This window comes from Homo sapiens, chromosome 10, assembly GCF_000001405.40.
Source record: "Homo sapiens chromosome 10, GRCh38.p14 Primary Assembly".
In the NCBI taxonomy this organism is placed as follows: Eukaryota; Metazoa; Chordata; class Mammalia; order Primates; family Hominidae; genus Homo; species Homo sapiens.
In genome coordinates this window covers 99,584,113-99,603,265 of record NC_000010.11, presented here as the reverse complement: position 1 = coordinate 99,603,265, position 19,153 = coordinate 99,584,113, and the positions used below count along the sequence as shown (strand labels likewise).

At 45.1% G+C, this 19,153-nt stretch overlaps 1 non-coding gene across 1 annotated transcript, besides 1 other annotated feature; it reads right to left on the bottom strand.

Annotated features, from left to right (window-relative positions):
- Positions 1-1,385: 1,385 nt before the first annotated feature.
- LOC124902589 (small nucleolar RNA U13) lies at positions 1,386-1,486 on the bottom strand. Its single transcript, XR_007062422.1, has one exon. It is a non-coding gene; the product is annotated as a small nucleolar RNA U13 (small nucleolar RNA).
- Positions 7,000-7,500: an enhancer, noted in NCBI's record as "H3K27ac hESC enhancer chr10:101355523-101356023 (GRCh37/hg19 assembly coordinates)". NCBI's record gives its function as "activates a minimal SCP1, AML or CMV promoter by ChIP-STARR-seq in naive and primed H9 embryonic stem cells {active_cell/tissue: H9 hESC(naive and primed)}" and the evidence as "EXISTENCE:reporter gene assay evidence [ECO:0000049][PMID:30033119]".

The window sequence follows — 19,153 nt, the reverse complement described above, 5'->3', positions numbered from 1 at the left end:
AATAATGTCCTTCATAGCTGGTTTTTTTCTGATCCAGCATCCAATTCAGGATCACACATTGCATTTACTGTTCATATCTCTTTAATCTTCTTTCATCTAGATCAGGTTCTCAGCCTTCCCTTATCTTTCATGAACTTGCTTTTTTGTTTGTTTTTAGATTACAGGCCAGTTGTTATGTAGAATGCCCTTCAGTTTGGTTTGTTTGATGCTACCTCATAATTAGATTAAGGTTATAGTTTTGGCAGGTGTACCATAGAAATGATATGGAGTCCTTTTCAAGGCAGTGAGGTCAGTGCATCCCTTTATTGGTATTGTTAACTGTGATTAAATGGTTATGGTTGTGTTCATCAGAGGAACTCACCATGGAGTTACTAATTTTCCCTTTGTAATCAATAAGTTATTTTCATGGGGGTGCTCTGAATCTATGTACATATCCTCTTCTTTATCAAACTTCTATCCACTAGTTTTAGCATCCATTGATAATTCCTGTCTAAATCATGGTTGCACAAAGATGATATTCTGATGTTATCATTTCTGCTATAAGAGAGAGCTATCCCTTCTCTTTTATTTATTTATATTCGTATGAGCTCATAGATTATTTTATTCTATGGCTATTCTATAGTGATATTACCACTGTAATATTGTGCTGTAATACCACTGTGATGATAATAAATAATTACCATTATTTATGCTGATGTTCGAATACTCCCAGATTTGGCCAATGGGGGTCCCTTCTGATTCCTGTGTTCTTTTTCTATATCTCCATTTTTTAAAAAGCACTTCCTTGCTTTCTGGCACAACACGATATTCTAAGCTTATCTTGTACTTTCCCCCTCTCAGTCCTAGAATTAGTCATTTCTCCAAGGAGCCCTAGTTTTTTTTTTTTTTTTTTTTTTTTAGTACGAAATGGTATTTAGAAACCAAGATCCAAGTGCCAGGTATACTCAATGCTACTGTAGTGTCTACTTCTAGGCCCTTTAGCCCACAGAGCTAAGAAATATACATATTTTATCTTAATTTCTACATCTGTACACACAGACACACACACACACACACAAAATCATGGATTCATATAGATACCTCCAGTTCCAACTCAACACCACAAAATTCATTTTAGTCCTCCCTTTCTCCATATTTATAACTCTCCTCTCCAACAGCAAGAACTAGCTTCCAATATCCTCAGTACATTTACTCATTTGTGCAACTCTACAGCACACAAAAGGTATTTCAGAATTGCTCACCCATATCACTACAGAAAAAACTCCTTCTAACTAGAATTAAATATTTGTTGGGCTTGTTTATTTGGTTTTTATCCTCCCTTCAGCATCGCAATATTATTTGTTTAAAATAGAGTTATTTAAAATGAGTTAAGTTCATTCCTTTTTTTTCACGTCAGGTAACATGCTGATGTCTTAAGGTTTGAAGGAGGCACATCTCACATGTGTGTGAAAACCCAAATCATCATGTTCACGGGCTACAAAAGGATGCATTTGTTTCTATTTGTATTCCATTCTAAGTTTCTTCCCCCTTCTCATCCTTGTTGACTTTTTTTTTAGTGGAGCTTGTGGATTTTGTGGATGGGCTTTACCGGGTCTATAAACCCCTCGGAGTTTTATGCAAAATATTGAATATGTCTGCCTTTGGAGCAAGGGTAGAGAATCCATAAGATTCTTAAAATGATCTTTAACCTCAAAATTTAGGAGCACAATAGAGAAGAGCAGGAATCCAGGGACCCTCTAAGAGGCTTCCCACTAGTGGGGTAGGAAGTTCTGCCAGACTGTGAGACTCTCAGGACAGACAGGATCTTCTTTATCTTATATGTCCACTGCTGAGCATGCACATAAATGCAGAGGGAACAGAAACCAAAGGAAAATGGAAGAGAAATGTGGGAGCAAATCTGTACCTTGAAGCAAACTCAGGATTGCTCTTTCTTTCTAAGCATTTCCCCACCAGTGACATCAGCTCAGACGTCTTAGATTCTGGTCCTCCCAGGGCATGCCTAGAACCACACCATGGTGGGGGTGGGGACACAGCCTGGGCATCTGTCTATAGGCATACATAGAAAAATAAACTAGGCCAGGCGCGGTGGCTCACGCCTGTAATCCCAGCATTTTGGGAGGCCGAGGCAGGTGGATCACAAGGTCAGGAGTTCAAGACAAGCTTGGCCAAGATGGTGAAATCCTGTCTCTACTAAAAATGCAAAAAAAGTAGCTGGGCATAGTGGCGGGTGCCTGTAATCCCAGCTACTGAGGATGCTGAGGCAGAGAACTGCTTGAACCTCGGAGGCGGAGGTTGCAGTGAGCCAAGATCACACTGCCACACTCCAGCTAGGGCACAGAGCAAGACTCCATCTCAAAAAAAAAAAAGAAAAGAAAAATAAACTAGGCTGGGCACGTGGTGGCTCACACCTGTAATCCCAGCACTTTGGGAGGCCGAGGCGGGCGGATCACCTGAGGTGGGGAGTTCGAGACCAGCCTGACCAATGTGGTGAAACCCTGTCCCTACTAAAAATACAAAAATTATCCAGGCGTGGTGGCACACACCTGTAATCCCAGCTACTCGGGAGGCTGAGGCAGGAGAATCGCTTGAACCCAGGAGGCAGAGGTTGCAGTGAGCCGAGATTGCGCCACTGCACTCCAGGCTGGGTGACAGAGCAAGACTCTGTCTCAAAAAAAAAAAAAAAGAGGAAGAAAGAAAGACAGAAAAAGAAAAAGAAACTAGAAGAAAAACCCCAGTTCATTGCAAAGATAACTGACCCAATGCTCTGATTTACTCCCTGCACAGGTTTCTTTTGGCTGCAAGGCCCCTGCCAAATTGGAGAACAAGAGCAATTATACCTGAATAGAAAAGCCGTGAGTCATGAAGAATTAGTCCCCTGCAGGCACTAACTGAAAGCTTTCCCTGGGTATGGTGGGAGGTAGGGACCCCCACTGACATCTAAAGCAAGATTTTTCATTGAAGGGTGGCACTGCTCCTTGGGGAGCTTCTGCTGCTAGAGAGGGGCCTAGGAAGGCAAACAATAAGGTGAGGGACACTTGGTCAAGGAATATTCTCCCTGGATTGCCTCCTTTAAACAGTATATTCCACTAGGCACAGGTGAAGACAGAAGAAGATGCAGTCCCTGCCACAGGGCTGAAAGAACGTTTAGAAAATCAAGCGTCAGCAAAAGCCAAATTGTACAACACAAACCGAGCCCACACTAGCTGAGTGATCTGTGGGGTGGGGTAAATCAGAGGAAGCTCCCAGAGGAAGGGGTATGAATTTTGAAGAAGAGTTGAGCCTGAAAAAAGAAGAGAGGTGAGACAAGGGCACTCCATCTGGCAGTCATGGCTCAAGGAAGAAGCGGAGGTATGGAGGAGAGGCGGCTTGATCCTGAGAGCAGAAAAGGGAGGTCTTGCTTCAAAGACCAAATTGGAGGGGACTGGAGTCCTGTGCCTGTAAGAGGCATTGTTCTTCAGGAGGAAGAGATCGTGTGTGGGGCTGACTTGAGGAGTAAGGAGGATGGCAAGAAGTTACTGAGGTCCCCTGGGACCAGGGATGGAAAAATTTACCTGGCTGGACAGGTGACTGTGGGATCGTGTATTAATCCTATCTGCTAGCAGATGAATAAAAGATGAAAATAAGAATTGACACTTTATAATACTCTGTGCACTTATATTGCATTTTCACGTGTAGCATTTTTACAAGCAACAATTGAATTATAATTCTTGCACATCTATTATGTGCTGATCATTGCAGGTAGCTGCTCAGGTGAGCCTCACAACCACTCTCTGCGGGAAACATAAAGGAAGTCATGTACTATCACTTGATATCATGTGCTCTAAATTTGCTCAAATGTTGAGTCTCATGAGAACCCTATGAGTCAGATGTGGCAGGAATTATTATTCCTGTTTTATAGATGAGAAAACTGATGTTGAGAAAGGTTAAGGCACTTGCTCCCAGTCATATAGCCAAGGACTGTCAGCCGGCCCTTTTTGACTCATACTAAGATCTTAATAGCTTACTTCCACTTTGACTTCATGTGCACAGTGTTAACAGTGACCTCCATGTTTTTGTAATGCCATTTTGGCCTAGGTCTGCTGCCCACTTGAGCTAAACACTCTCAATTCCTGGCATTGATTTACCAAAGTTTAGTAATTCAGCTTGTTGAGGGTCTCAAGGTCACCATTATTTCTTCATGCCAGGGCTGGGTCTCAGGAAAGCAAACAAAATGCTGACGGTCACTTGGAATCTGAGCAAGCAAGGAGGCTATCCCCGGGGAGACAGCTTCCTCAGCCCTGTCTGCCACATACTCCTGCCAGCCGCTGGGAATCCACTTCCACTGCCCAGCCGCCTCCAGCCATCAGCCTACTGTCAGAATCCAAGCACCAAGCGCTTCTTTCCCTTTTCCGCAAATCCTCCCTTATCCAGGATGATGAGCTGCTTCTTTCCATTTTTCCAACCCACACAATTACATTGCCAAGATGGTCCTTGCAGGTCTCATCTCCAGGACGTGAGAACTTAAGGCTAAATCCTGAGATTCCTGCTTTATCTTCTGCCTAGCTCACCTTATTCTAAGACTGCTTTCCACAAATCTCAGAGGTGGCTACAACACAGTGCCAGGGGCAGGGTGGGGTGAGTGAAAGGCCCATACATGGCTCCAGAGGAGGCTAGTGGGAGCAGGAAGACATCCAAAGATATGTGGGGGAGTGAATGCTACTTCTTAGCTTCCAGTGAAGATCAGACACTGTAACTGTTCATATCATGTTAATGGTTTGACAAGGTTTCTACCTAAGAACAGGACATCAAAACAGGCTCTGGAGCAAGGGATCAGATTAGGAACTTGAGTCAATGTCGTGTCTCACAGGTGTTCTCAGACAGATGACTATATCCTTCCCTGGGTACTTGCAGGGTAAGCACATCCCCTCGAAATAGCAGCAGCTCTAAACATGAAATTCTTCCTGGAGGATTTTCTTACTCTTGAGTTCTATTCTACCAAATTTTTTGAGCACTTACTGTCAGGCATTCAGAATGTGAGCAATGACAATAATTTACCTACACTTTTGCACTTACAGTATGCTGGGCCCAGTTGATTCTCAAAACAGTTCTGGGAATTAGCTATAAAAATGCCCCCATCTTACAGATGAGGAAGCTCAGGCTCAGAAAGGCAAAAAAAAAACCATGCCTGAACTCACACAGCAAGAACATGACAGAACAAGCGTTCCAACGCAGGATTCCAAAGGTAGTGTGGCTCGCCAGTGCCCCTCAGGGTCCCTAAGAAGTGAGAAGCAGTCCTGCCTGCAGGAGCCCAGTCCCAGGGGTGAGACTGATTTGTAAAGAGATCATGAGACGTAAGTGCTGTAATAGAGGCATGAGGAAAGTTGTTTCCATTCTCTTTCTGCCTGTTCCTGGAGTGGTGCTCACGGGAGGGGACCCAGGACCTTTGGAAATGTAAAGTGTAATACTTAGGTTTTTGTAATTGGTCACTTCTTTGCTAGCTGTCAGAGGTTCAGGAGGCCAGTGAGGAGTGGCCGGCTTGGAGGGTCCTTGTGTTTACATGACAGCCCAGGGCTGTCATATCCATTGTCTCGTGTGATCCTACCCTGCTGCACTTGCTGTTCCCTCTGCAAGGAACGCTCTTCCCCAGATACCACCTGGCTCACTCTCTCTTTATCTTTTATTTATTTTACTTTTAGATAGATGTATTTTTTGAGACAGGGTCTCGCTCCGTTGCCCAGGCTGGAGTGCAGTGACACAATCTTGGCTCACTGCAACCTCCATCTCCTGGGTTCAAGCAGTTCTCATGCCTCAGCCTCCTGACTAGCTGGGACTACAGGTGCACACTACCATGTCCGGCTAATTTTTACATTTTTTGTAGAGACAGGGTTTCGCCATGTTGGGCAGGCTGGTCTCAAACTCCTGACCTCGAGTGATCCACCTGCCTCCCAAAGTGCTGAGATTACAGGCATGAGCCACTGCAACTGGCCTGTTTATACATTTTTTGTTTGTTTGTTTGTTTTGTTTTGTTTTGTTTTGAGACAGAGTCTCGCTCTGTCGCCCAGGCTGGAGTGCAGTGGTCTGATCTGGGCTCACTGCAGCCTCCGCCTGCTGGGTTCAAGCAATTCTCCTGCCTCAGCCTCCTGAGTAGCTGGGATTATAGGTGTGCACCACCACACCTGGCTAATTTTTGTATTTTTAGTAGAGACAGGTTTTCACCATGTTGGTCAGGATGGTCTCAAACTCCTGACCTCATGATCCACCTGCCTTGGCCTCCCAAAGTGCTGGGATTATAGGCATGAGCCACCGTGCCCGGCCTATACATATGTTTTTGAGAAAGGGTGTTGCTTTGTCACCTAGGCTGCAGCACAATGACGCAATCACAGCTCACTGCAGCTTCGACTGCCCTGGCTCAAGTGATCCTCCTACCTCAGCCTCCCAAGTAGCTGTGACTACAGGTGCAAACATCATGCCCAGCTAATTTTTTAAAAATGGTTTTGTAGAAATGAGGTCTCCCTTATGTTGCCCAGGCTGGTCTCAAGCTCCTGGACTTAAGTGATCCTCCTGCCTTGGTCTCCCAAAGTGCTGGGATTACAGGCGTGAGCTACTGAGCTTGGCCTGGCTCACTCGCTCACTTCTTCCTGGTCTTGGTTTCAGTCTCACCTCCCCAAAGAGATCTTCCCCAAATTCCTTATCTAAAATAGCCTCCCCTACCACTCTATCCCTTTCATTCCGCTTTATTTCTCTTATTGCACTTACCGCTGTCTGAAGTTTTTTATATGTTTGTTTATCATCCGTCTCCCCCAAATGAGGACTGGGACTTTTTCTGTTCTCCAGCACCAAGAACAAGACCTGGAACACAATAGGTACTTAATAAGTAATTTGTTGAGCAAGTAAACCAATTTAAGCCTTAAAACAATGCTGCAAGGTAGGTGTCATTAAAATTGTGAAGCTCATGGCCATCTGGTAAGGAAGGAAGCAGGCCTAGAGGAGTCATGTGGCAGGTCCAGGTCCCACAGTGCACACCCATCAGCCCGGGTACATGCCCGGGTCCCCCTCTTTCCCACCAGTCTCTTTGCCCAACACTATTCCTCTCCTCCCATGACTCAAATACTCCATAGTTCTGTGGTCCAGAGACTGTTAGTTCATTGTAGAAAGGAAAGAAACCCAACAATACCCGGGAGAGCCATTTATAATCCCTGGGCAGGGCAGGGTCGTGTCCTCTGAGGAGCATGACACAGCATCAGTGTCACCAGCTCTTCCAGGACCTCCCTGCCAGTTGCTGCCTGGTGTCCAGTTGCAGTGCAGTGGGCTGAGCTCAGATCACCCTCCAGGTGGAAAGAGCAGCTCAACCTCATGCTTTGCAATGAATACCTGCTTCCCCCTACCCCTTCAGGCCTTTCATGAGGATTCCTGGAACAGCATGCCAGAACGCCTGTCTCATAGGCTAATGCAGCGTGAAAGAAATCATCTTACCCTGTGGGGGCAGCAGGCTGCTCCCAGCTCTGCAAAGACTGAGTACTGGGTAAAGACCCCCTTCTGGGTTCCTTCCCACATAAGCGTTCGGGGTTGTGCTTGGCAGAGGCCACACAGAGGAAATAGCAAGGAAGGGGACATGAGTACAGGACTGTAGAGGTGTGTGTGTGTTGAGGGAAGGCTCAGAGCTCACTCATTCACTCAAACAAGCTAACAAACATGGGGTCTCAGAATGGAAAGAAATATCAAAGCAGTTGGGAGATGTGGGCTTGTGTCAAAGTCCACCTCTTATAAAAGGTGTGGTGTGACTTAGGGAAGTTACTTCCTTTGTTAAATGGGGATAATAAAATAACACCTACTCAGCTGGTTAAAGAATCAAATCCGGGCTGGGTGTGGTGGCTCACACCTGTGATCCTCCTGGGAGGCCAAGGTGGGTGAATCACTTGAGGCCAGGGATTTGAGACCAGCCTGGCCAACATGCTGAAACCCTGTTTCTACCAAAAATACAAAAATTAGCCAGGCATAGTGGTGCATGGCTGCAGTCCCAGCTACTCGGGAGGCTGAGGCAGGAGAATCGCTTGAACCTGGGAAGCGGAGATTGCAGTGAGCTGCAATTTTGCCACTGCACTCCAGACTCCAGCCTGGGTGACAGAGCAAGGCTCTGTCTCAAAAAAAAAAAAAAAGGAATAATGACACATAGAAATTATAATGAATATAATCAACATGTAAAAAGCTAAAGAAGAAAATAAAAATCTATAATTCTACTATGTATAATCACTGTTATTATTTTGTATATCTTCTTTCTTTTCTTTTTTTTTTGAGATGGAGTCGCACTTTTTCGCTGGAGTGCAGTGGCACAATCTTGGTTCACTGCAACCTTCACTTCCCAGGTTCAAGTGATTCTCCTGCCTCAGCCTCCCGAGTAGCTGGGATTATAGGCATGCACCACTGCGCCCAGCTAATATTTTTATTTTTTTTGAGATGGGGTTTAACTATGTTGGTCAGGCTGGTCTCGAACTCCTGACCTCATGATCTGCCCGACTCAGCCTCCCAAAGTGCTGGGATTACAGGCGTGAGCCACCGTACCTGGCCCCTGTATATCCTCTTTCATAATTTATCCAAAGCACATGTATGCAAATATATATTATATATGCATGTGCCCCCTCACCATAAGGCTGGATTGCATGGACTGTACCTCGAGGGCTTCTAATAATTTTTATCATTAATATCATTAGAGTAGTAACCTCAGTCTTCACTGGAACTTTATCATTGCTCTGGAAAAGTAAGAAGTTTTGGAAACTTATTGTTAATAACTCCTCTGTCCCTTAGTTTAAGAAATATGTAGTTATCCGCCACATGGCACACTGGGAAAAAGGAGATCGGCGCTCTTTTCCTGTGTTTGCCAATAAAGAGCAGCGAATACTCTGGCAAGAAGCCTCCACATCTCAGGTTCCGCATCTGTGAAACGAGGTAATAGCCTACACCTTGAGGCTCAGATGAGCTCATGCATGGGACAGCGTCTAGAAAAAGCACCAATCACCCACAGATGATAGGAAATACCGTCGTATCCACCTCCATATAGGTAGGAACAGCCAGGGATTAATCCCATCCCATTTAGCAGGTTCTAACAACCTAAGGCAAAGGCTACCCTGAGAGAGTCCGCTAGTTTCTAAGATGCTAACGTACAATTCCCCTTGCCTTCAGCACTTAGTCATGAGTCATTCCCATCTAAACCAGAGCTAAAATGGCCCCCAAAGTGGTTTACTGTTATTTCAAGAGTTAGGGAAAATGGTATAACTCCCAGATCAAAAGTCTCATCCCTGAGGAGTCAGAGCCACAGCCTCTCTGGGCCATCCGCTCCTGTGTTCTCAGCGTGAGCTCTGGCTTCTTCTGCAGCTGGGTCAAGAAGAAGCTTGTTGTCTGGGCACAGTAGCTCATGTCTGTAATCCCAGTACTTTAGGAGGCCGGCACAAGTGCATCACTTGAGCTGAGGAGTTCCAGACTAGCCTGGGCAACATAAAATACCAAAAATACATAAAAATAGCCAGGCATGGTAGCACATGCCTGTCATCCCAGCTACTCAGGAGGCTGAGGTGGGAGGATCACTTGGGCCCCAGAGTTCGAGACTGCAGTGAGCTGTGATCATGCATGCCACTGCACTCTAGCCTGAGCAACAGAGCAAGACCCTGTTATCAAAAAAAAAAAAAAAAAGAAAAGAAAAAAGAAAAAGAAAAAAAGAGGCTTATTAAACATGAAGATTCCCAGGGCCCCAGCACGGGGTCAAAGTCCAAAAGGGGTGGGGCTCAGGAATGTGCACAATTAGTAGCCGCATCCAAGGGATTCTGATTCACTCAGAAAGCCTGAGAACTTCAGATCCCGTCCAACCTCTCATTTACAACAGGGAAAGTGAGGCTCAAGGTTACAAAGCCATGAGCGGCCAAGTCAGAGACACAGAACCAGAACTCAGTTTCTTTCTCAAACTCTCTCCTTTCTTTCTGTATCCTTTTATCTCCTCACCTGCCTTTTCTCCTTCCTCCATCCCTTCCTTCCTTTCTTTCTCTTTATCTTCAGAACATAGACTTTTTTTCTTACCACAATACAGTCAGCACAGAGGTTCCAGTTTGTTGGACAGTTCTGATCCACATGGTTATAATTCAGATTTCTTATTTGTATTAAAATATATTCTAGTTTTTTTCTTTTAAAGCCATAACTATTAAAAATCAGCAAGGCTGGGTGCGGTGGCTCACGCCTGTAATCCCAGCACTTTGGGAGGCAGAGACAGGTGGATCACCTGAGGTCAGGAGTTCACGACCAGCCTGGCCAACATGGTGAAACCCCATCTCTACTAAAAATACACAAAATTAGCTGCGCGTGGTGGCGGGCGCCTGTAATCCCACCTACTCGGGAGACTGAGGCAGGAGAATCGCTTGAACCCTGGAGGCGGAGCTTGCAGTGAGCCGAGATCGCGCCACTGCACTCCAGCCTGGACAACAAGAGCAAAACTCCGTCTCAAAAAAAAAAAAAAAAAAAAAGAGTCAGCAATGAGGAAAGATGATTTGAAATATAATAATGAGAAGTCATAATTTTTTCATATACCGGCTGAAGCTAAGACATGTCAAGAGAGAAACAGGTCAGAATGTGAGGGTTCATCGAAAGGAATTTTATTTATTTTATTATTATATATATTTATATATTAATAATATATTAATATATATATTATTTTTGGGAAAGGGTCTTTGTCACCAAGGCTTGAATGTAGTGGCGCGATCTCAGCTCACTGCAACCTCTGCCTCCTGGATTCAAGCGATTTTTTTGCCTCAGCCTCCAGAGTAGCTGGGACTACAGGCATGTACTACCACACCTGGCTATTTTCTTGTATTTTTTGTAGAGATGGGGTTTTACCATGTTGGCCAGGCTGGTCTTGAACTCCTGACCTTAAGTGATCTGCCCGCCTCAGCCTCCCAAAGTGCTGGGATTACAGGCATGAGCCACCCTATCTGGCTGGAAAGGAATTTTATTCATTTATTCATGCATACAGGCATTCATTTATCCATCAAACTATCACCAAACATCTAGCAGCTGTGGTGCTGTGAATACAACAGCACCTACGCCAGGGCCCTACCTTTGACTAAAGTCACAGCATCACTGTGGCTGAAAAGAATGAAACCATGAGTTAGTAAGGAAGAGCTGGGGCCACAGGGGCTGGCAGCAGCCCCAAGGGAAAGAGAACATGGCCCAGCTCCACCATGTTAGCCCATCTGATGGTCACCCTCAGTCTCATCTTCCCTGACATTTGGGTCTGAGGTCCAGATGTCACATCATGTTTCTGTTTGCAGACTGGGCATGTCCTTGCTTCAAAAGTAAAATCCAGGGTGGAGAAAGACAAGACTTTTCTTCCCTCCCAGAGCCTCATTCCCCAGCATGCTGGGAATACCAGGGAGTTGATACAAGGTATCCCTCAACAGCCTGCAGGCTGAGTAGGCCATGCAGAGCCAATAAATGTCATCTCTCTGGTCTTTAATAAGGTTTTCAATGGGTTCCCACTTAAGTAGTCTTTGAGAAACTTAAAAAATCTGACTGAGCTGGGTGTGGTGGCTCATGCCTGTAATCCCAGCACTTTGGGAGCTGGAGGCGGGCAGATCACAAGGTCAGGAGTTTGAGACCAGCCTGGCCAACATGGTGAAACCCCATCTCTACTGAAAATACAAAAAATTAGCCAGGTGTGGTGGCGGGCGCCTGTAATCCCAGCTACTCAGGAGGCTGAGGCAGGAGAATCACTTGAACCCAGGAGGCGGAGGTTTCAGTGAGCTGAGACCACACCACTGCACTCCAGCCTGGGCAACGGAGCAAGACTCCATTAAAAAAAAAAAGAAAAGAAAAGAAGAGAACAATCCGGCTGAGTGTGAAAGTTTTATTAAGCAGGAAGTTGTGAACATTGGTGGTGCCATTTAGCACCCCAAAATCATTGTTGGCATTAATTTGCTTTGCTCTAGGTGGTCTTCTAGCTATCCTCATCTCTTTTCTCATCTCAATGACCTTTTAGAATCATATACTGTCCTTCAAAGGGACTTATACAGCTTTGAGCAGGGTTGTAAACTGGTACTTGCATAAAAACTGGGGTCAAGGGAGGTAAAACAAAATGAGTTAAGAAAACAAAGGCCACTTTATGTTCAAACTTAAATGTCTAAAACATAAAACTATTCTTAAATACACGCTAGTTGAGTATGTGGAGAATAAAACTTCCTTTTGAAAACAAACTTTGTCGTCTACGCTCAGTTCATTTGTACACCACAGTCAAGGTGTGGTCTTGGCAAAGGGACCTGCACTGCTAGGCCAGATTAAGGAGCAGGAATTGCCCGGTGGGTTCACAGTGGGGAAAAGTCTTGGTGGCTGCAGCAACGGCATGAAGTGGCTGAGGCCAAGAACACTGCTCAGGGTTCTGCCTCTGTCCTCGGACAGTCAGCTCCAGAAGCTCACAACTATCCACCGCAAGAGGCAGAAAACAGAATTGAGAAAATAATAGCTCTCCGTATTTACAGCCCCTGTTTGCTGTGTGTCTTTTAAGTGCAGAACACTGTGTTAAGAGATTTTCATCATCCTCTCACTTGATTTCCCCCAAATTATGCGAGGGATGTGTGATCATTCCCTACTTCAAAGATAATCTTGCCATGGTCATCCAGCTAAGGTGGGATTAAACTCAGCCCTCTCCCAACAAGCTCCAAAGCCTAAATCTTTTTCTTTTAAACCTCATCATCGAGAAGATAAATAGTAAGTACCTGTGCTGGTGATGGCATGAGCATGTCTCATGGTTTCCTACATTTATTCTCATTTTTTTTTTTTTTTTTGAGATAGGGTCTTGCTCTCTTGCCCATGCAATGGTGCAATCGTGGCTCACTACAGCCTTGGCCTCTCGGGCTCAGTCAATCCTCCTGCCTCAGCTTCCTGAGTAGCTGGGACTATAGGCATGTGCCACCACAACTGGCTATTCTTTTTTATTTTTCACAGGGATAAGGTTTTGTCATGTTGCCCAGGCTGGTCTTAAACTCCTTGGCTCCAGCGATCCTCTCACCTTGGCTTCCCAAACTGCTGGGATTACAAGTGTGAGCCACTATGCCTGGTCTTATTAGTATATTTTGTCATTGAAAAATTATTTACTTTTTAAAATATACAAGTAGTGCATGTTTAATACATTCTTATAAATGTAAAATAATTCAGAGTGAATAGAATGAAAAGTAAGAATTCTCCTTGACATTCCCTATAATTGCAAGTATACATGTAATGTAAAGTATATTGGAGAAAAAAAAATTTTTTTTTTTTGAGACAGAGTCTCACTCTGTTGTCCAGGCAGCAGAGCAGTGGTGTGATCTCGACTCACTCCAACCTCCATCTCCCGGGTTCAAGCGATCCTCCTGCCTCAGCCTCCTGAGTAGCTGGGACTACAGGTGTATGCCACCATGCCTAATTTTTTTGTATTTTGGATAGAAATGGGGTTTCATCATATTGCCCAGGCTGGTCTTGAACTCCTGACCTCAAGCGATCTGTGGCCTGGAGGAAAAAAAATTTTTTTTTTGGGGATGGAGTCTCAATCTTTCGCCCAGGCTGGAGTGAAGTGGTGCGATCACAGCTCACTGTAGCCTCGAACTCTCAACCTCAAGTGATCCTCACATCTCAGCCTCCCAAGTAGCTGGGACTACAGGTGTGTGCCACCAGGCCCAGCTAATTTTTGTATTTTTTCTAGAGTCAGGGTTTCTCTATGTTGCCCAGGCTACTCTCGAACTCCTGAGCTCAAGCAATCCTACCCACCTCAGCCTCCCAAAGTGCTGGGATTATAGGCATGAGCCACTGCACCTGGCCTATCAAAATAATTTTTAAAAGGAGAAAAGTCCCTACAGTCTAATGAAACAATGGGGAGTAATTTAGAATATTACTTTTTGGTCTTGTTCCTGCACGGGTGTCTGTTGTGTGATAATACACCAGATGCATTTTGCAACCTGCTTTTCTCCAATTATGTTGTGAGCCCTTTTCACGTCATCTGTCTGGTCTTCTTACCCCTCTGAGTTAATGGCTGGGTAATGGAGTTAATCGAGATCCAGAGTTTGCTTAATCTTTCCCCTTTTGCTGAACTTTCTTTTTTTTTTAACTTTTCTTTTTGAGACTGAGTCTTGCTCTGTTGCCGAGGCTGGAGTGCAGTGGTGCGAACTTGACTCACTGCAACCTCTGTCTGCCGGGTTCAAGTAATTCTCCCGCCTCGGCCCCCCAAGTAGCTGGGACTACAGGCATGCACCACCATGCCTGGCTAATGCTTGCATTTTTAGCAGAGACCGGGTTTCACCATCTTGGCCAGGCTGGTCTCGAACTACTGACTTCAGGTGATCTGCCCACCTTGGCCTCCCAAAGTCCTGGGATTACAGGTGTGAGCCACCACGCCCCCCTTTTGCTGACATTGAGATTGTTTCTGGTTATTTGCTATTATCAAGTCTGTTGTGATTAAGTTCTCCATGCATTTTATTTCCTTTCCCTGGTTTGGATTATTTCCCTAGCATTCCCACAAGTGGAATTACTGGGTCAAAGGGTGTGAACATTCTTAAGGCTCTTGATCCACAGTTGTCAGACTGTTTTACAAAAAGATTGAACCAATTTTCATTATTTGGAAGCTTGCTACTTTCATGTGAAAAATTCTGGGGAAAGATTTTGTTTAAGGCTTCTTCTGCAGCTGCTGCTTAGCTGAAATCATTGCATTTTACTTTTGCTGTTTCACAAGGCCCCTTTCAAAGTCTGTTCACAATGTCTCACCATCTGATTACTGGGTGGAAGATTTATATTGGTCTCCCTGTCTCCAGGCTCTTCCTGCCTTCAATCTGTTTTGCACCCGGCAGCCAGATGAATTCCTCTGGAAACATCACTTGCCTCATGTCTCTGCCCTGCTCAGAAACTCATAGTGGCTATTTCTTCCAGAATCAAGTCCAAACTCCTCTACTAGGCCTTAAAGATCCTCCGTAATAGGCTCACCCGCTTTCCAATTCAATCTCACCTCCTGCCGCCCTCAACAGAAACCTTCAGCGACTTCCCTCTTAGTCCCCACATTATGCCCCATCTGTGTTCTCTTTTGCTTATTTTTTTCATCCACCTGGAAAGCTCCCCCTTCCTTTCTAGTTAGTCCAAATATTCTGCTTTCAGGGTGGTTCAGTCCCACCCAGTCAGTGTGAGAATTCTGCAAACAGTAGCCAGGGAAAACAGAAAAAGACTTGGAATCGGAAATGCAGAGAGAGGGGAAAACAAAGGAGAGAAAGCAGAGGGGGTTGCCATGCATGTCACCAGGGCCAGGAGGACGTGGGTGCACCATAGTAAGGGCCCGGATGGACTGGTGACAGAGATCAGAACCAAGGCAAAGTTCTTTGTTATTGATGGCATTTAGTCTGCTTCTAATGGCGAAAAGAGGGGATCTGTGAGACAGTAGGATTGTGGGCCAGGGCTGACAAAATAATGAGGAAAATAATAATTATAGTATATTAGTTGTGATTAGCTTCACTTTGAGAAACTAAGACCTGAAAAAGAATGGCTTAAATATGAGAAAAAAATTATATTTTATGAAAAGAAATCCTCAGGAAATTCAGGGCTGGAATGGCAGCTTCCTGTTCATCAAGGACCAAGCTCTTTAGCTGTCTGCAATGCCATCCGCAGGTTGTGGTCCCCCTCCTCATGCTCCAAAAGAGCAGTTGGGGCACCAGACATCACTTCCAGAGTCCAGACCAATAATAGGCAGAGGGATGATAGAGTGTCTCCTACATTTAGGGAGACTTCCTGGAAGTCCTGTGCAACATTTTTGCTCAGGACTCAGTGGCTTCATCAGGCAGCTGCACCTAGATGCAAGGAAGTTTCTACATCCAAAATAAGAATCAGTGTTCTATTACTTAAAGAAAAAAGAGAATAGATTTGGGGGTATGTGTCTACCAGCCTGCTATCATTGATTGAGGTTCTGCGGTAATTCATTTATACCTATTATCTCTTTTAATTTTTATACCAATTCTACAAGCTGGTACACATAGGAAAGGAGAGAGCTAGACTCTAAGTCCAGAGCCTGGACTCTTTTTTCTTTTTACACTTCATGAAAAATTATTTTTCATGATACAAAACACAAAATCGATAAATGTCTTTTTGTTGACAACACACACACACACACACACAAAGTTCACCTTTCTGAGACTGTGTTACACTTAGATATCATGCCATGTGGAACTCATTCAGGTCCCTCTTTTAATATATGTTCAGTTATATTTTTTGCTATACGGTAGGTTTTATCTGTGAGGAATATATTCCACTTTCTCTGTAGGTTGTAAACAGAAGTAGTTCTCAATAAATAATATTGAAGTGAGGGTCTAAAGGGAAAAAATATCAATTTATTTTTAATGAGAATATCTAAGGTCAAACAGTTTTCACAAGTGAGAGGTTAATTAAGAGTTGTGAATATGAAAGAGGGTGAGAAAGATGAAGTTCTTCATTCCTCAATTTGTGCTTTGTATTGTTACTCCAGTTTTTCTATAAAACAAATGAATTTTAAAAGTGCCACATTCAGGCTAGATGTAGTGGCTCATGCCTATAATCCCAGTGCTTTGGGAGGTTGAGGCAGGAGGATTGTTTGAGACCAGCCTGGGCAACACAGCGAGACTCCATTTCTTCCAAAAATTGAAAAAAGAAATTAGCCAGGCATGGTGGTGTGCACCTGCACTTCTAGCTGCTTGGGAGGCTGAGGCAGGAGGATCACTTGAGCCCAGGAGCTTGAGGCTGCAGTGAGCTCTGATTGTGCCGCTGCACTCCAGCTTGGGTGACAGAGTGAGACCTTGTCTCTTAATTTAAAAAAATTTGCCACATAGAGAGGTTGGGTAGGTTTGGTAATGCTAATTGTGACTGGTGTCTAATGCTAGGAAGTATGCACTCTTGGTGGAGCTGGATGCATATCATAACCACAGTCAGAGAGGTAGGGTGAGGGTGAGGCAGGATGATGGGAGCAGAAGGTATATTTGGTTAAAAAAGGAGAGCTGCTTAGAAAGGGGGTTTTGGACTAATGTGGATTGCAGACAGTGAAGGAAGTCTAGGGCAGAGACTAGTTTAGAAAATACAGTGGGCATGGAAAAGGGATGTGGGTCGCCAATTGGAGTGGAAGGATTTGCAGATAAGGCAGTTTCAGCTTTGGACCACTGGGGTGCCCTCAGTACCTTCCAAGACCAAATTTTACCCAAGGACAGCTGCTAAAGAATGATCAGGCCACAGTAACCGCCAACATCTTGCCATGTGCCCTGCCTTCTGTGACTGCGTGAGCCTGAGCCATCAGCATGCTGCAGGGAAGGAGTTTCTGTACTCTGGAATAATGACCAAGGTTGGGTGCTGCAGAGGGAGGGAATCTGGAAAAGACACAGGGAAAGACTAGTTCCTAGAAGGTGAGCACCCAAGGGCAAGCCACGTTAGTTTTGCTCCATGCCGTATTTCCATGCCAAGTACCATGTCTGGTCCATGGTTCCCTTCACCCTCACTCTATGAAGGTATGTTGAAGAATGAATGAAAGACTGTGGCCCCAAGGTCACAAGCAGATAAGTATTCATAAGCACCTTCCTGCTGGCCCTTTAAGATAACCAGTTGAGAATGTCAGGAAACATAGTATGGGCAGCAGCCCTGGACTATTCTCTGCCTATTTTACAAGGGCAACAGGGCCAAAGCCAGGGACTGGTTATGGCAGTGTGGTGTGTCCCTTGTGTAGGAGGTGTAGGATCTGGGGACTTAAATGGCAAAGACAAAGAAGTCATAGGGATTGAATAAGGGGAGGACTTTGTCCTTTCTGTGTCTCTCTTTGCCCTCTTCTCATCATTTGGGAGCCCTTACTATGTAAAGGGGCTTGTCCTAAAGAGCTATACATGCATTGTTGCATTAACCTCCTAATAGGCCTTTATCATTCCCATTTTTCAGGTGAAGAAACTGGAACTGAAAAAGGTTAAGGGGCCAGGCACAGGGGTTCATGCCTGTAATCCCAGCACTTTGGGAAGCTGAGGTGGGTGGATCTCTTGTGGTCAGGAGTTCAAGACTAGCCTGGCCAACATGGCAAAACCCCGTCTCTACTAAAATACACACACACACACACACACACACACACACACACACACACAAATTAGCTAGGCATGGTAGTGGGCGCCTGTAATCCCAGCTACTCGGGAGGCTGAGGCAGGAGAATGGCTTGAAAACCTGGAGGCGGAGGTTGCAGTGAGCTGAGATTGCACCATTGCACTCCAGCCTGGGCGACAGAGTGAGACCAGCCTGGCCAAGACGGTGAAACCCGGTCTCTGCTAAAAATGCAAACATTAGCCAGGGATGTCTCAAAAAAAACCAAAGAGGTTAAGGAACCCGCGCAAGGTGTGACAGCTCTGAAGTGGGAAAGCAGGATGTGAGCCCAGCTCTCCCAACCCTAAGCCCCCTCTTAACTACTCTACTCCCACCTCTATCTGCTCTAAGCTGTTTCTCCTGTTCTCACTCACTCGGTCACAAAACATATTTTGTTTTTCTATCTACCTAATATTTTATTTTGAAATAATTTCAGATGAACAGAAAGTTTGTAAAAATAGTAAGAAAAATCCCCATATACCCCCTCATCCACATTCCCCACATGTTGGCATTTTACTGCTGGGAGTAAATATTGATTACATTTCCTGATTACATTTTTATATTCCCTTGGACTTAAATTTTCATTTGTTTTTCACCCACCACAGCGCTTTGCCGAGGGCAAGGAGAAGTGGCGTGGCCCTGGCTGGTGGGCTGCAAGCTCCACTCACCACGCGGGAACCCCGAGCTCCCGACACAGCTGCGCCAATTGCCAGCATTCCCCCAAAGCACAAGAGGGTCATCCAGTAACTCGCCTCACGGGAAGTCTTCTGAGGAATGTCCCAGACACCAGGCCTTACGAGATTCATTAGTTACAAAAGACGTCCAAACAAGGGAAACATTAGCCACGGTAGGCCCTCAGAATAACTCCACCTCTTCCTCTCTTGTGCTGTCAACTCAGGGCAGAAAGACTCACTGTGACCCTACTGTGTGTCAGGTGCTGGAGGAAATGGTAATATTATCAATGATGCTGCCTCTATCAGAAAAACGAGGTGGCTGACTAGAAAAGATAAGAGTGTTGGTAGGAATTTCCCCACCAATAGTCAATCAGGGACCC